Genomic DNA, 14996 nt, shown 5'->3' with positions numbered 1-14996 from the left:
AGAGAGAGAGAGAAAGAAGAGAAGAGAAGAGAAGAGAAGAGAAGAGAAGAGAAGAGAAGAGAAGAGAAGAGAAAAAGAAAGAAAGAAAATCTGGCCTCAAAAATATTTCAGCCTTCGGGGGTCTGGTTTTTAAGACCAGAAGATCCCTCCCCTCCCTTTTCCCCTCTCCTGACTGAGTCAGAAGACTTGTATCTCTGGAATTTGGGATTATTTGACCAGAATCTTATTGGCATAAACAGAATTTTTAAGTCCAGGACTCTCCAGAGAGAAGTGAGAGACCCTTCTACCCCCTGGGTCCCTGAGCCTTCAATTCTTCATTTTGGGGAATGAAGATACCAATAAAGACGCCCTCTTACCCCGCTGTGACTGGGGTGGCAGGATGTCCACTCAGCAGGCCCATCCTCCAGGCCAATGGCCCACACTATGGGGGCTGGGTAAGCTGACCAATTGCCAAGGTGAAGTGGGGAGTGGACTTTAAACCGTCTGAACAGAAGTTGGAGTGGATGCAAGCGGGCTGAATGACAGTGATGACAATCTTCCTGTGCAGAGGATTGAATGTGAATTTCAGGATGTGGGCTCAGGCTGGTTGCCTACGAGCTCACTTACTTTCCCCTTCCTTTCTCCTCTCCTTCAGGCTTAAGCTTCCTCACCCTCCATTCTTAGCATCCCCCATCTTCAGGCAAGCCCTGCAGACAGGCCAGCCAGTTGCCCTGAGCCTCACACATCCCCACCCGGTTCATTATTCTAGTGCTGGGTGCTGGGTGCTAAGGTCTGGCCACAAGGGGCATGCGGAGATCAGAAGGAATCCCACTATCTCATCCTCAGCCCCAGACCCTGGAAGAAAAAGTCATAGTTGCATAGGGCAGATTCTTTGTCTGGGCCCAGCCCAAGGCTGAGGAGGAGGAGGGTGGATGAGTGAGGAAATCTTTCTTCCCATTGGGATCCTGGCGTCTGGAAACCCACTTTGTTTGGAGCCAAGATTCCCCCAAGGGCATACCTATAGACTCCTTACTCTCTCAACCAATGGACTGCTCCTTTTCTTCCTCCTCTCAACCCCTCACCCCTTTCACCTGCCCTCCCAGGCCAGCATGCTTTCTCAATTCCCAGGCTTCTCTCCACGTGAGTTTCTGAACCCCAAAGCCAGAGCAGTGAAGCAGACCTTTTCCAGAGAGTTGGACAGGGGGATAAGGAGAGAGAAGGTAGAGAATAGGGAAGAGCTGTGGAGAAAAAGCAAGTCATTCCAGCTTCTATTATTTTTCTTCTTCTTTTTATTATTATGACTCACGTATACAATACAAAGTACTTGGACCAGGAACAGGGCTGTCGGGACACAAAATCTACATTCATAGCTGGACATAAAGACAAATGACAAAAAATTATTATTATAGATATATTTTTAACATTTTTTTCTTTCGAGCACATTGCATAAACAGAGAATTCAAGACAGAGTTAACTATACATTCAGTGCAATTTAGTTCTACTCTACTGGGGTTAGAAGCACAATAAAAGCGCACAGGACCGGCGGGCTAGGCAGTCTCAGTTGTTGGGTTTTCTTAGTGAAATAAGCAGCAACAAACGACAACAAAACCGCATTACAAATACTCTCAAAGCAGGATTTCTTTCTATAGGTAGTGATAAAATACGCTGGAGGTTTCTTTCTTTCTTTTTTTTTTTTTTGATTTTTATTTTTTTCTCTTTTTTTCTCCTATAGCAGGATTTTAAAATTTTTCTCTTTTTCTTTTTCAAGATTATTGCAGGTTCCCTTTAGGTAGTATGTTAAAGATTTATTATTATTATTTTCGTGATTATGGTGATTTCTGAGCACTAACACTAATGCAGCTCAGAGGAAGGCGGGCCCAACAGAATAGAAATCAAACAGCGAAGGAGAGGAAGGCATGGGCCCGAGTGACCATGGGATGGTTAGGTAGGATTTTAGAGGCGACTGCAGGCTCCTATCTACCCTTCTGGAAATGGGGGGAGGGGAAAGACCCACATCTCCTTCAGGTTTCCATCAGGTTCCTAGAGAAAGTCAAGGGGGTTTTTCTAAGCAGGGAGCCCTGGGGAGGGGGAGGGGGAGGGGGAGGGGATATTCCTTGCTTTTTTCCTTATTTCTTTACATTTGTCTTCCTTTCCTTTCTTCATTTTTTTCTGTCCTTTCCTTTTTAGAAAAAGTACATCTAGTACACTAGCCTTAGCATAAAAACAAAACCACAAGTCCTTTTCTGCATTTCGAGGGGGCTCCCCTCTAAAATAAATACCAGAGAAGCAGGGAGGTGGGAGTGTGGTGAGAGACAGACCGAGGAGCACGGAGGCCAGGTCTCAGACCTTAAAATCCAGGAAGGACTCAGAAGGGTGGGGGCAGGGACAAGTGTGTGTGGGGCAAGGAGTGAGACAGAGAGTCCGAACTTTTCACTGTTTCTCCGTCTCCCCCCTCCAGCCCCCAAACAAATAAAGAGTGGGGGAAGTCCAAAGGTAATAAAACCAGAGCTGCAAGTATCTGACAGGTAGTTAGAGTTGTGAGTGTCATTCTATTCTCTATAAAAGCAAATGACAGTCGTAAACTTCTCAATTTATCTGCTACCATAAAACGAAACTTCAAGGGAGTTGCTAAGGGGGGGGGGGTCTTTCTTTTTTGCTTAGTCCTTGTTTTCTTCCTTTTCCTCCTCTTCTTTCTCCTCTTCCTCATTTCCTTCTTCCTCCACCTTCTCCTCATCTCGGGCTCCCGGCAGTTTATCCTTGTTGTTCTCCTTTTTCCACTTCATCCTTCGGTTCTGGAACCAGATCTTCACTTGTCTCTCGGTCAGTCCCAGGGCATGAGAGACTTCAATCCGACGTTTTCGTGTCAAATAAGGATTAAAGAGAAACTCCTTTTCTAGTTCCAAGGTCTGATACCGGCTGTAAGTTTGCCGTCCACTGCGCCTCCCCGGAGCTGGACAGAAGAAAACCCCAGTCTGGTTACGTTTGGATGGGGGCTTGGTTTTCCTTTGCCACTCTTCCTACTCTAAACTCCCCTCTCTGATCTCCTCAGTTCGCCTCCCCTCTATGGAAAAGGCTAGAGCAGAAGGCAGACAAGGGCAGAAAAGTTGGGGGATTGTTTTTGTTTGGCTTCACCTTGGGAGGTGGGGTGGGGGTGGGGGCTAGGGTCTGTTTGGAAACTGGGGCCTTTCAGGGGCTGGGGAGCCCTGTAGAATCCCCCCCACCAGGCCTGTAATCCTAGGAACTGGCCTTTGCAGCTTTGTTTACAAGTGCAGCAGGGCATTTAGTGAGCGAGGCTGGGGACAGACTGTTTCCAAAAGAAAGGAAAAAAAGCTGGGGGTAAAGAAGAGGGGCTCTGCCCACTGCCCTCTCCTTGTCTCTCTCTGCCTAATGCTTTTCCAATAAGAAAAATAATTGATCTGCTGGAATGTGTCACCGCTCCGCCTGATTGCTAACTGGAGACCAGCAAATAAATCATGGGCCATCCCCGCCGGAACTTGTCGCTTTATCGCTTCCCCCTGTACTTCGAAATTGGGCCATGAGGGGCCACCCTTGGAGGGGCTCATGACCTAAGCTACTCTGCAGGTCTCAGGGAGACCCCACAAGTCCTTGATTGGGGGGGCGGCTAGGGTCTTCTGGACCTCAGGAACCCCTAATCTCTATGGCCTCTCTCCTTTTGAGCACTCTTTTTTCCCCCTCCTCTCAGGCTCCCCCGTCTTCTCCCAACTGGGGGAAGTATAAAAAAGTTGGGGTAGTGGCCCTCAGGCTGGTTCTCTGAGAGGAGGTTATGGGTGCCCTAGAGAGCCAGAGAGCCTGTCCTTAGAGTCTCACCACACTCTGGCTAGGGCAGAGCAACAGGGGTCTGTCTCCCTTTGCCCCAAGACAGCCTGGCCAGTGTCCTGGACTCCAGGCTCCCTGCCTCTGGAGAAACTGGTTTGTTCCAAAGGCTGACAGTCTCAGGGTACTCAGGGTACCATTCCCAGCCACCTCCCCAACTTTGACTTTAGAGATGGGGAGTGGGAGAGTCAGAGAGAGACAGACAGACAGAGATGGAGAAAACGATTTTTAACCCTTTGCGGCCACACACCAGCTTTCTCTCACCTTCACCCCAATCCCCTAAATGTTCTAGGCACCCCCTCCCTGCCCCGCCCCAGCGGAGCCTTCCCAACTTCGAGAAAACCACCCAGGCACAGGCACGGGGGTGGGGCGGGAGAGACCCCAAAGCCAGGAGAAAAAGCGAGGGCAGACAAAAAGGAGGCGAGGGAGGGGGGGAAACCCTGGAGCGCGGGAGACCAAGGGGGAAAGAGAAAAGGCTTCTCACCGTGGGGTCTCATCCATGGAAACATGAGGCTGGGAGACGAGTTTTGATTTAAGTGGCCTTGTCCTTCGCTACTGTTAGTGTTGGCGGAGGATTTACAGTCGGGATATTGCACCACGCTCGCCTCTTGCTGAGCCCCATAAAGGGACTGTCTGGGGAGCGCCTCGTAGCCATAGAATTTGGAGGCGTCTCCGTGGCAGCTAAGCGAGCACGGGTTCTGCTGGTAGCCTGAGTTGGAGATGCCGGAGGTGCCGTGGTGGAAGAAGTCTTGAACGTGGTGCGAAGCGTGCTGGAAGCCGGGCGCCGAGCCGCCGGGCCCGTACACCAGCGCATGGCTCCTGCCCACGCTCTGAGGGAACCGGCAGTCGTAATAGGCCGGTTCCAGGGACTCGCCGGCTTTGTATTTGGAGAACAGGGGGTTGACGAAGTAGGAGCTCATGCTGGGTACATGAAAACCCGCGGCCCCCTCCCCTCTGGCTCACGAGTACCCCGCCCAGTACCCCCGAAACTCCCCTCCCCCCGGGACCGAACCCCAGGCCAGCTGGCTCCCCGGGACTGGGCTGGGCTGGTGGGCTGGGGGCTGGGCAGGTTGGGGGGCGCCTCGGTGCTGAGCTCGGCCGGATCAGCAGAGCTCCCGGGGCTGGGGCGCGGGCGGCGGCGGCGGCGGGCGGCGAGCGGGCGGCGGCGGCGGCGGCGGCGCTCCTCACTGTCGGTAGGTAGAGCTCGCGCTCTCTCACTTAGCTCTTTCCTCTAACAGCCCAGGCGAATTCCTCAGACTCCCGGCGGTGGCGGCGCTTACACGCGATTCGCGTTCATCAATCCACGACATGAAGACAGGCGAGAGAGAGAGAGAGAGAGAGAGAGAGAGAGAGAGAGAGAGAGAGAGAGAGAGAGAGATGGCGGGGGTTGAGGGGTACAGGGCTGGGGGGACCTGGAGGAAGGGGAGGGGAGGAGAGGGGGAGGGATGGGGGTGTGTGGTGTGTGTAGGGGGGTGGTGAGCCAGCCCCAGCTAATGGCTGGGGCCAGTTTTCCAGGGTACGAATTTAGATGTGAAGGTGCCTCTCGCCCCCAGCCTCGCTTCTCTTTTCCTTCTTCTCAGAGAGAGAGAGATACCTGAGCCAGCAGGTCAACCCAGGTTACCTCAACAGGTATAAGACCTCCAAGGGGATGAATACCTGCAAGCCAGAGCAGGGCCCCTAACCCAAAAGATGGGCTTCCTAGGGGGTCCCTAAGTCTGGAGACTTTGAGGAGGAACAAGCACACCATACTCCCAAATACTTCAGGCATCAGACCCTCCATCCCCTGGCCCCTCCCCAGGGTCCGAAGCTGTTCTGTCTTCTTCCTTAGATCCAGGAGACTCTCTTGCTACCTGCTATGGGTAGAGGAGAGGGTCAGAGGAGGTGGGGCTGGGGAAAACTCCATATACCCAGTCAGGGCCACACTGCCCCTTCAGACACGAGCCCCTGCATGGAGCAGGAAACCCAGGCAATGGCCACAAGCTTGGCTAGGGGCTCTGAGAGCAAAGCTGCTTATGGAGACTAAAAGGAAAGGGCAGCTGTGTGTCCCTGGTTTCTAGCTGGGCTGATTCAGGACATTTCTTCTTAGGAGACTATTTGCATCTGAGTTGGAGGGGACTGGAGCAGGCCTCTTACTTGTCCCCACATACCCCCATGCCATAGGAAATGCCAGCTCAGCCTGGTGGGGCCCCTGGCTTCACTGCAGCTCCCTCTTCCCCAGGCAGGCTGCCCAGGCCAGGATGTGGATGGGAACTATCAACAGACACTCTTTAAATATTTATCCACACTTTCTCTGGAGGGTTCCCCCATCCCCAAGACTGAATACGTTCAAGTTAATTCTAATGGATTAAAGAACCTTAGTCCATCAGCACCCTTCTCTGGCCATAAGTGTGTACAGTGATTTGGGCTTAACACAGACAGAGAGAAAAAGGGAGAAGGTGAGAATACATGCATGCTGTGTGCATATGAATGAAAAAGATGAGTAAGAATTATTTTTCCAGTCCTCTCCCTCACCAGGGTGTGAGGCTGTTACACCCAGGAAATCCTAGAGCACACTCAGGACACACACACACTGTACGTGCTACTTTTCACCCTGAGACACATCAAGTCCATGCTCAGTGTAAACTAGCACACACATGCCTGGAAGCATCCCTGCCACCTCACAGACACTGTACGCACATGTGCACACCCAGGCACACATGCATACATGCCTGACAAACACAGATGCATCTTTAGGTCTTTGCATTATGAAAGCAAAATGCTACCTGTTTTTCTTCCACATCCTGGGGGTTTCAGGGTTGGATGAGGAAGGAGGTGGTTAGGCAACCAGACCTTTTCCTTCCCCATCCGGAGCCCAGCTCTGGAGATGGAAGAAGGAATGGCGGTTCAGGGCAGGATGGTTTAGAGAGAATGAACACCTCCTCCCACCCAACCCAGTCCCCCTATTATCTAAGTAATTGCTGGGGAAATGGCCACTCTCTGTCAAATTCCCAAAGGAGATTCACTGGTGCAGGCAGCAAGAGCTCCCTCCAGGATCCCCTGCATTTGGGGAATCCCACCCCCATCTCAGGAGCTGCCCAAACTCTTAGACACCCAGAACTCTGGCATTGGAGCAGCACGAGGGAAGGGTCAGAAGAGGGCTGTGCCAGGGCTGCAGGCCTCCCTAGGGTCCAGAACAGTAGGGGTCAGGACAGGGCGTCTCTACCCGTACCACAGCTCGCTTCAGCCTTGGCTCCAGCCCTGCCTTTTCTGAGCCTGCTCTTCGGGTGCTGCGATGAACAGAGTGGACTCTGGGCTCCCAGCATCTGGGTCACTGGAGACTGTCATAAATACTTTCTCTTCCCAGCCTGGAAAAAGGAGGCCCAGAGGGCTGGATCCGCTCTGGGGCCTGCGCCTTATCATTTAGGGGGTGGGGTGGGGGGATATTTCGACATTTTATGGTCCAGCGAAAACCCTGCCAGAGAGCTATTCTTCCGGGGCTTTGTGTCTTGGAATGCGACTGTCCCGAGTGTGCCGCCACCGCCGCCTGCCCGGAGAGCCCACCAGTCCCGCAACCCCTGGCCGGACTTGGTTTCCCCTTTTGGGGATCCCTCACCGTTCTTTCATTTGTTTGTTTGCTTTCTTTTACACGTTATCTGGTTTATTTCGCTCCCCGAGCCTGGAAATAAAGGAACCGAAAGCAGCCATCCTCGCCGAGGCCGTCTCTGTCCCTCTCCCCGAGGCCTGCACCGCCCTCATAGGTACCACGGATTTATGTTCGTTTGTCCGGGTCATTCTGCCTTTTTGTGTTAATTACGCGCTGCCTGCTTTGCACTTATCTCCTCCACAAAGCGATTATTTTTAATGCCTGCCCTCCTGAGCCTTCCGAGCCCGCTGCCAGATCGAGGGCCCATCTCCCGCTGCCACTCGCGAATTATTTACACCTCGCAGGTGAGAGGATTGATTTGCTCAGAGCCAGTGGGGCCGGGCCGGCCGAGGCGCGGGGCCTTCTTGCAGCGGCTGCGGGCCGGGCCTCAAATGTCAGTGCGGCCAGGGCGGCCCGGGGCACCGCCGCCTCTAACATTGAGCAACAGCGCCACCTCGCGTCCATTTGGTCCAATGCAGTCCGGCTGGGAAAAAGCTAACAAGAGGTCCCAGGCTTGCCCCAAAGGTGGGAAGTGGGAGGAAGGAACCTCCAGATGGGTGCTCAAGAGAGAGATTCCCTGGGAGTTGCCCCAGGACTGCTGTTCTTTTGTTTTCTAAGTTCTTGAAATAAAACCTTGTGAAAGGTTCCACACTGTTTTCTCTTTTTGTTACCCTCCCTTCTCCAATTAAGAGACTCTAAGCAAAGCAACTGCCGCGATCTCCCCCCATTCAGGCGCATTTCTGGGCTTGGAACATCTCCGCGAACGCGGATGCACGCTCCGAGGCTCCCACGACGGCTTGCCCGCGGCGCGCACCCTAAAGTCCTCCCTCCTCTTACCCTGATGCTGGCCCCGCACCGACTATTCCGCCGCCGCCTGCAGGACTTTGGGGTGGGACTCGGACTTCTCCAGGCTGTTTGACCCCTGGTTTGTAGCCCATCCCTCTCGCGCGCGCGCTCTCCACCTCTCCCTCTCAGCCAGTGAGGTCCTGTTCTCCGTGGGCCATAGACAAAACATTCCTATAATCCGATTTCAAAGGAAAGTGTCCACCTTATTTAAACCATAAAACAATTAAGCCCAGACGTCTAGCCAGCTCCGCGCTGCTGTTTTGTTCGGCCCCATTGAGAACCCAGAACAGGGAGACAAACAGCGCCATAAAAGTGGCATTTCGGGGCTGCGGAAATGTACCTATCCGCTGCCTTCTCAAGTGGAACAATCTTTAGGGTTTTGTGATTCTGACAAAGGAGCAGAGGAGAGGTGGGAGGGGAAGATTAGGGGAAGAGGGCGTTTGCTAGCCCCTCTCTACCCCCAGCTTTCATTTCTTTCCCCAGATGCGTGTTGTGTTGTTAATTCGTAAATGATAGCGAATAAAAAATGATTCCAATCCTGACCTGCAGGCTGGGCTGGGATTGAACAGTGGGCCGGGCCGGGTGGGCCTGTTCTGCATCCCATGCTTTCCTCAGGGTCCTCCAAGCCCGCGGCCCTCCTTCCTGCCCGCAGTAAGGCCGCTCAGGCCGGCTGCAGGAAGCAGGCCGCGCTGATGGACGCTGAGGGGAGGCGACAGGGCCTGGGAGCAGGGGCGGGGTGGAAGCCCGGAAACGCCGCTCTCGGTCTGGGAGAGAAGCCCGCATCCCAGCGCTCCCGACCAGGGGAGAGAGGGGTGTCTTGGCCTCCACTGGGTGGGGAACAGGAGTCAGAGTTCCAGAACAGCAAAATGGCCAAAGAGAGGTGTGAGGAAGGAGAAAAACTATAGGCAAAACACCTTTCAAATGGACCAAGAAAACAATGCTTCTGGAATTGGGGAGGCGGTCTCCTAAGCTCGAAAGAGGAGCTGGTGCTTCAGCGACTGCGAAGTCCCTTGTTGCGACTTGATTGCCCCCCAGTATTATCGAAACAAAATTTTCACCCCTTCCTACCCTCCTCCAGCCACCGACATTGGAGTTTTAATAGAAGGAGAGAGTAGGAGATTCAAATGATGGGGAAGGGGCTGGTCCCTACAAGTGTCTCACCATCCTGTAAGGTGATGCTACGGGGAGCAGCACATGGGCTGGGTCTCTATTTTTTTTCACGGAGTATCTCCCCAAATATTCAGAGCGACACCCTGCACCTTTGGCAGAATGGGCAGCTTGAGATATTAAATGACTATATTTCAAGCAGTCTGATTTTAACAGTTTCCAGATTGGGGGATTTCCGAGAAAGGGGGCGCTGGGCCGAGGCATACCCGGCAGCTTGTGTCTGCTTCTGATTAGCAGATTAAAACTGCTGGTTCTAGGAAGGCGCCCTGGGGTGCAGTACAGCCGATCAGCCCCACCGGACTGTTACACACACATCCCCACATCTTTGCGCTTGGGGTCCCACGGCCACCAGGGAGCACCCCACTCCTGGCTAATCTCTGGCCAGCTTCCTTGGGCCTTGGGCACACCATCCCCCAGAAATGCTGCAGCTGCACAGCGTGACCCAGTCACCCCCAGACAAACATTCAAACTAAACACCAGAGTAGGGGAGACAGAGATTGGGAAGAAAAGAACTAGGAGAAGGGGATCGAGGAGCTGAGACTGCATTGAGAAGTAGAAACTACATCTAATTCTGATTGTATTGGCTTTGCCATCTTTCTCCTTCCCTCCTTCCTTTCCTTTCTTCCTTCTTTTCTTTCCTCTCTCCTTCCATGTCCCATCTCTTCTCTCTCACTGTGTTTTTCTTCTTTTTCTTCCACTGCAGTCCCCAGTGCCTGTCCTGCTCCCTGAGGCCTGCCTGGCCTTCCTCCTAGTCACACGCCCCCTCCCAGCCTTCTTTCCCAGCCATCCCTGGAAGCACCAAAGCACCAATGCCGCCAGGCAAGAATCCAGCCTGGGCCCTCACCCAGCACCCAACTTTCATCTTCACCTATCTCTTCCCTCCAATCTCATGTACTCATAAATTATTACAATTAATTACAGCCAAGGAAAGCCATTCATGCCGTGCCTCTCCCGCGCACTCCATCTAGCCACCAGGAAACTTGTAGGCAGCCAGCCGGGGAAAGCACAAGCTGGGCCTGGGCCTCAGCAGCCTCCACCCCACCCCCAGAGACCCCCCACCCCTCCCTGACTGGAGAGAAGCAGCTGCAGAAGCAGACGTTTGCCCTTCCAAGGTAGAAGGAGCCCATTCTCTGGCTCCAGCCTCCGCTAGATGACCTGAGCACTTGCCTCCTCCACAACAGCAGACTGGGAACCACAGGGAGGAGAAATAACGAGAACTGGATACAGTTGGGTTTCTGGTTAAGTGACTTCAATATATTAACACAGGGCTGTTCTACCATAACAAACAGAAGCACGTTACAGGACGGACGCTGGGGACGAACCCTGGGGATGAGAGGGAACACTATGTACAGCCCAAGGCGCCGGCCTGCACGGGCCCGACCTAGCCCGCGGCATGGTCCCCAGCCCTCACCCCTCAGCTCCTGGGCTGGGAATCATTATCATGTATGTGTGTGTGTCTTTTTTTTTTTTGTACAAAATCTGCACGCAGAGCGCCCCAGGCCCGGGGAGGGATGACCTGGACCAAATACGATACAGGGAAAAAAAAATAGAAATATAGCGATTCAAGTACTGGCTTCTCTGAAGAAAGGAGGAAAAAAATCACATTTGTATGTGTCATTTATTTCGGTTGCGCTGGGGAAAGAGAACGCAGTTTCTCTCCCCGCCTCCTCCTCGCTGGGTAGAACTAACTCTAAAACACCAATATCTCAACACTGAACCCTCCCAAATCGCAAGAGTTTTCTTTTCCCCTTCCTTGTTTTTCTTTTTAAGCTGATTGGCTTTTGTCTATCTTGCTCTTTCCTTTTCTTTTTCGTCTCTCCCCCGCCTGTGTTGGGGTATTTTGTGGGGTTTTTGTTTTTCCCTTGGCTGTGCTGAGGCAGCAGGCTGGGTAGGGTTTAGGACTGCTCCTTGTCGGTTTTCTCTTTATTCATCTTTTTCATCTTCATCCTTCGATTCTGAAACCAGATTTTGACCTGCCGCTCGGTGAGATTGAGAACCCGGGCCACCTCATACCGACGGTCCCTGGTTAAATACATATTGAAGAGAAACTCCTTCTCCAGTTCCAGCGTCTGGTACTTGGTGTAGGGGCAGCGCTTCTTCCTCGTGGAGCGGGCGTGAATCCAGTTGGCCACGGGGTTGCCTGGAGGGCCAAACACAAGCAGGGGTCAGTGGAGCCCCTTTCCAGCCCAGGACTTCTGCTACTCTACCCCTAGACTTAGCCAGGCTCCCCAAATGCAATAACTGAACCTGAATTTGGACACATTTTGCTTTAGGAATTTTCCTCCTTCCTCGTTTTGCATTCTGTCCCCTCCCCAGCTTCCCCCTTTTCAGTTTCCAGCACCTAAAACTGTAGGAAATCCAAAGCTATCAAAGCCCCTCTAGTCTGGTCCTCAGCTTCAAGAGTAGTAATTTGAGAATATCCTCATAAAAAGTCCAAATTCCCAACCGTTTCATAGGCCCATAAACGCTTCTCTCTCTTGTTTTTTATTTTTATAGCAAGGTCTCTCTCCTCCCCACCTCCCTCCTCCTCTGCCCCCTCCCATCCTCCCAGCCCACGACCAAGTCCTGAAATTTTAGCAGTTCTGCTTCCTGACCCTGAGAATCCCTAAACCCCTCACCACCCTCTGCAGCACCATCCTCCCGCTTGGAGTTCAACCCTGCTGAGGCGAATTCTCAGGGTGATGCTGAGACGGGAAAAGTCTTTCTCCTCTCCCCAGAGAGCCGCTGGCCTTGGGGACAGGCTCCCCTATATCTTAGTTTTCCTGTTTGGCCTCCAGTGCCCCCCTCCTGCCAGCCCCAGGACAGGCTCTGCAGGAGCCAAGCCTCCAATTTCAGGTTTATGGGAGTAGCTGAGGGCAGGGAGGGAAGCCTTCAGAGGAGTATAATTAGGCCCTGGCCCCTTATGGGGCTGGAGGAAAAGATTTCCTGCAGCCCCCTCCTGGGACTCCCCCAGACACTTCCTCACACCCAGGGGTCTGCACCCCCTCCCCTGCTGTTTCTCCTTCTTTCCCCTTTTTCTGGCCCTGCAGCTCCCACCTGCCCCCCACCCTAGCCCTCCTGTGCAATCCTCAGAAGGCGCCTGTCTCCCTGATTGGAGTGAGTGAGTGAGAGTGAGTGTGTGTGTGTGTGTGTGTGTGTGTAGAATTCTCTAATCTGGGGAGATGCCCACTCCTCATCCCTGATCCCCATTCTCAATCCTTCCCCTCCAAGACCCTCAGAAGAGGGTTCTCAAGTTTAAGGAGGCTCAGACCCCACTTTTATCCCCACTTCTCTTTGAAAGTCCTGATCTCTCCAAGTTCTCAGGCTTCGAAATACCTCAGACCCCTCACCCAGTGCTCCTGGGGGAGAAGTCCATGGACCTTCTGTTTTGTGAATCTCTAGTGGGGTGAGGACCTCCACGCTGACTGGGAAGCAGGGGTCATTCTCGCTGGGGGTATCTCCTCTGTGCCCCCAGTGTCCTCCTCACCTCTTCCCTGTCCCATCTCAAATCATAAACTGAACTTCGCCCCCAGCCCCATCCCCTGGCCCTGTCCGCCTTTCTTCGAAAGTGGTGACTGAGCCAAAAAGCCTGGGCTGGGAGGAGGGGGCAGGGGTCTCTCATCAAAGCCAGCTCCTGAGAGAGGAGCTCCCCTCGGCCCTCTCCCAACCTGTCTCCCTGGGCCCCATTCTCAGACCTCCTGCCCCTGAAAGCTCCCCAAGGTAATTCGCTTTTATTGAGTCCTCGCCCCCTCGCCCCTCTCCCGCGCTCCCTGCACGGTTCGGGAGGGCTGTAATTCGGCTGCCCCCGCCCGTCCTCCCCTCCCCTCCCGCGCCGGTTGTAAAGGAAAATTGCTCCCAACTTACTGGGGTCCAGGTCGGCCTTCTCCTCTTTGTGCTTGCTGCCGGCGAGCGCGTCCGCCTCGGGCGAGGGCAGTGTCTGCGGGGCGCGGTCGCGCAGCTCCCCGGGCGAGCCGTACATGTAGTCCGGGTAGCTGCGGCCCTCCCCTGGGCCGCAGTCCGCGCGGCGCCCGGGGTAGGCGTCCGGCTTGAGGGCGTAGTGACGGCCCCCGGCCGGGAAGCTGGGGAAGGAGACGGCGCCGGACAGCGGCTCGAGCCAAGTCCGCATGTAGCGCGTGTCGGCGCCGAGGTGGGGCTGGGGGCCGTACGGGTGATATACCACGGACGACTGAGAGGGCACGGGCGCCCACGACGTGCTGAACACTGCCGGCTTGGGCGCGAAGCTACAGGACGGAAAATCGCTACAGTCCGGCACCAAACCGCTGGGTCTGGCGGCGGCGGGATGAGCCCCGGTGGCCGGAAACCTGGACGCTAGGAGGTCTTCATTGTCGTGAGAGATGAGCGAGTCCACGTAATAGTTACTGATGGGCCCCGTCGCCGACATCGTAACGGGGTTTTACATACATAAGATTATTGTATGAACTGTATATGTACTTTTTATCTGCTCACAGAACAATCAAGTCAGGTAATTATTTTTCCAGCCTTTTCCCCACAGCTCATTGGCTCCCCGGCCCCCACGTGATCGTATTTACCCAAAAATACGGCGCGGATCAATGCGCAGGGGCTTTTTTTTCCTTGCCTTCTTTTCCCCCTCTCCCACCCCCTTCTCTCTGCTGCTCCCCGCGACCTGCGATTTCCTGGGGGTCCGGAACTCTGGACCCAAGGCACCGGTCACCCCCTCAGGACGGCTCCTAGCTCATCTGAGAAGCCCCTGTGCCCATGTCCACCCATAAGCAGATGGCCTCCCCCCAACCATGAGGATTTTTTAATGGGGTGAAAATGCCAGTCCCCGAAGCCAGGGTTCTCGGACCCCCAGGGCCGAGCTGGGCGCGGGAGCCCCGCAGGGGCGGGGAGGCCGACCGAGGTAGGTGGAGGAACTATTTCTTGACGTAATCCGTCTCTGTCGGCCCCGACGCTCCCGCAGTCTCTGCGCGAGCCGAGATCAGCGATTGTCAGTTCGGAACGTGGCTTTTAAAAATGCGTTTTTAAATAGTGTGTATGTATGTATTTCTTTCAGGAGCAGCAGGGGCGGTGAGGGAGGGAGGGTGGGAGGGGACTGGGGAAGCTGAGATACAGGGAGGGAAGGAGGGAAGGGGAGCGTTCTTCTGCCACTGGCCAACTCTGCCCCCCAAATCTGGGGTAGGGGAAGCCTGGGGAAGGTGGTCCCTGGGTGGGAGGGGTAGAACCTCAGGATCTCATACACCTTTATCAGCAGCCTCAGAAGTCTTCTCTTTGCTTTGGCACAGATATACAGGCGCCTTTATTTTAAATTTATTGTCTATATCTATTTATCTTTCTTTGCCAGCTTGAAGAAGTGTAGGAGAGATCTACACAACTTAAGTGGGGCGTCCCCATCCCATCTTCCTGCGCACCCTCCTTTGCCCCCAACTCCATCTCTGCGACACTTCCCCACCCCCACTCCCCCCAAAAAGTCGCTCCCGGGCTCTGTCTGCAGAGAGCCAGGGTGAGAGCGGGCAAGGCAAAAGAGCGACCTCGGTCGTGGGCAAGTAGCTTGTTTTTACGTCCCTCAATAAAATTTTTATGAGGATCA

The 14996-nt window shown here is 54.0% G+C and overlaps 2 protein-coding genes and 1 long non-coding RNA gene across 3 annotated transcripts, besides 2 other annotated features; 1 reads left to right on the top strand and 2 right to left on the bottom strand.

Annotated features, from left to right (window-relative positions):
• HOXC8 (homeobox C8) lies at positions 1249-5033 on the bottom strand. Its single transcript, NM_022658.4, has 2 exons — positions 4298-5033; positions 1249-2929 (listed from the first exon to the last, which is right to left on the bottom strand). Exons 1-2 carry the CDS (start codon positions 4731-4733, stop codon positions 2637-2639), a joined length of 729 nt encoding a protein of 242 aa, NP_073149.1. The 5' UTR covers positions 4734-5033; the 3' UTR covers positions 1249-2636.
• Positions 7547-7626: an enhancer, noted in NCBI's record as "active region_6431". NCBI's record gives its function as "activates an Ori minimal core promoter by ATAC-STARR-seq in GM12878 lymphoblastoid cells {active_cell/tissue: GM12878}" and the evidence as "EXISTENCE:reporter gene assay evidence [ECO:0000049][PMID:35858748]".
• Positions 7857-7926: a silencer, noted in NCBI's record as "silent region_4520". NCBI's record gives its function as "represses an Ori minimal core promoter by ATAC-STARR-seq in GM12878 lymphoblastoid cells {active_cell/tissue: GM12878}" and the evidence as "EXISTENCE:reporter gene assay evidence [ECO:0000049][PMID:35858748]".
• HOXC9 (homeobox C9) lies at positions 10681-13857 on the bottom strand. The gene is made up of 2 exons (NM_006897.3): positions 13292-13857; positions 10681-11588 (listed from the first exon to the last, which is right to left on the bottom strand). The coding sequence occupies exons 1-2, from the start codon at positions 13827-13829 to the stop codon at positions 11344-11346; spliced, it is 783 nt and encodes a 260-aa protein (NP_008828.1). The 5' UTR covers positions 13830-13857; the 3' UTR covers positions 10681-11343.
• A 150-nt stretch (positions 13858-14007) lies between these two features.
• On the top strand, positions 14008-14996 carry HOXC-AS1 (HOXC cluster antisense RNA 1). The gene is made up of 2 exons (NR_047504.1): positions 14008-14309; positions 14751-14996. It is a non-coding gene; the product is annotated as an HOXC cluster antisense RNA 1 (long non-coding RNA).

The sequence above is a fragment of the Homo sapiens genome, chromosome 12 (genome assembly GCF_000001405.40).
Source record: "Homo sapiens chromosome 12, GRCh38.p14 Primary Assembly".
NCBI classification, from domain to species: Eukaryota; Metazoa; Chordata; class Mammalia; order Primates; family Hominidae; genus Homo; species Homo sapiens.
The sequence above is the reverse complement of the archived record's forward strand: the minus strand, read 5'-3'. Positions and strand labels throughout refer to the sequence as shown.

What these genes read in the sequence shown, in the direction of transcription:
- HOXC8 (NM_022658.4), bottom strand. Translation starts at nt 4,733, where the DNA reads ATGAGCTCCTACTTCGTCAACCCCCTGTTCTCCAAATACAAAGCCGGC. An exon ending in TCCATGGATGAGACCCCACG is followed by an intron (nt 2,930 to 4,297) that starts GTGAGAAGCCTT and finishes TCTTCTGTCCAG; the next exon opens with CTCCGGGGAGGCGCAGTGGA.
- HOXC9 (NM_006897.3), bottom strand. Translation starts at nt 13,829, where the DNA reads ATGTCGGCGACGGGGCCCATCAGTAACTATTACGTGGACTCGCTCATC. An exon ending in GAAGGCCGACCTGGACCCCA is followed by an intron (nt 11,589 to 13,291) that starts GTAAGTTGGGAG and finishes TTGGCCCTCCAG; the next exon opens with GCAACCCCGTGGCCAACTGG.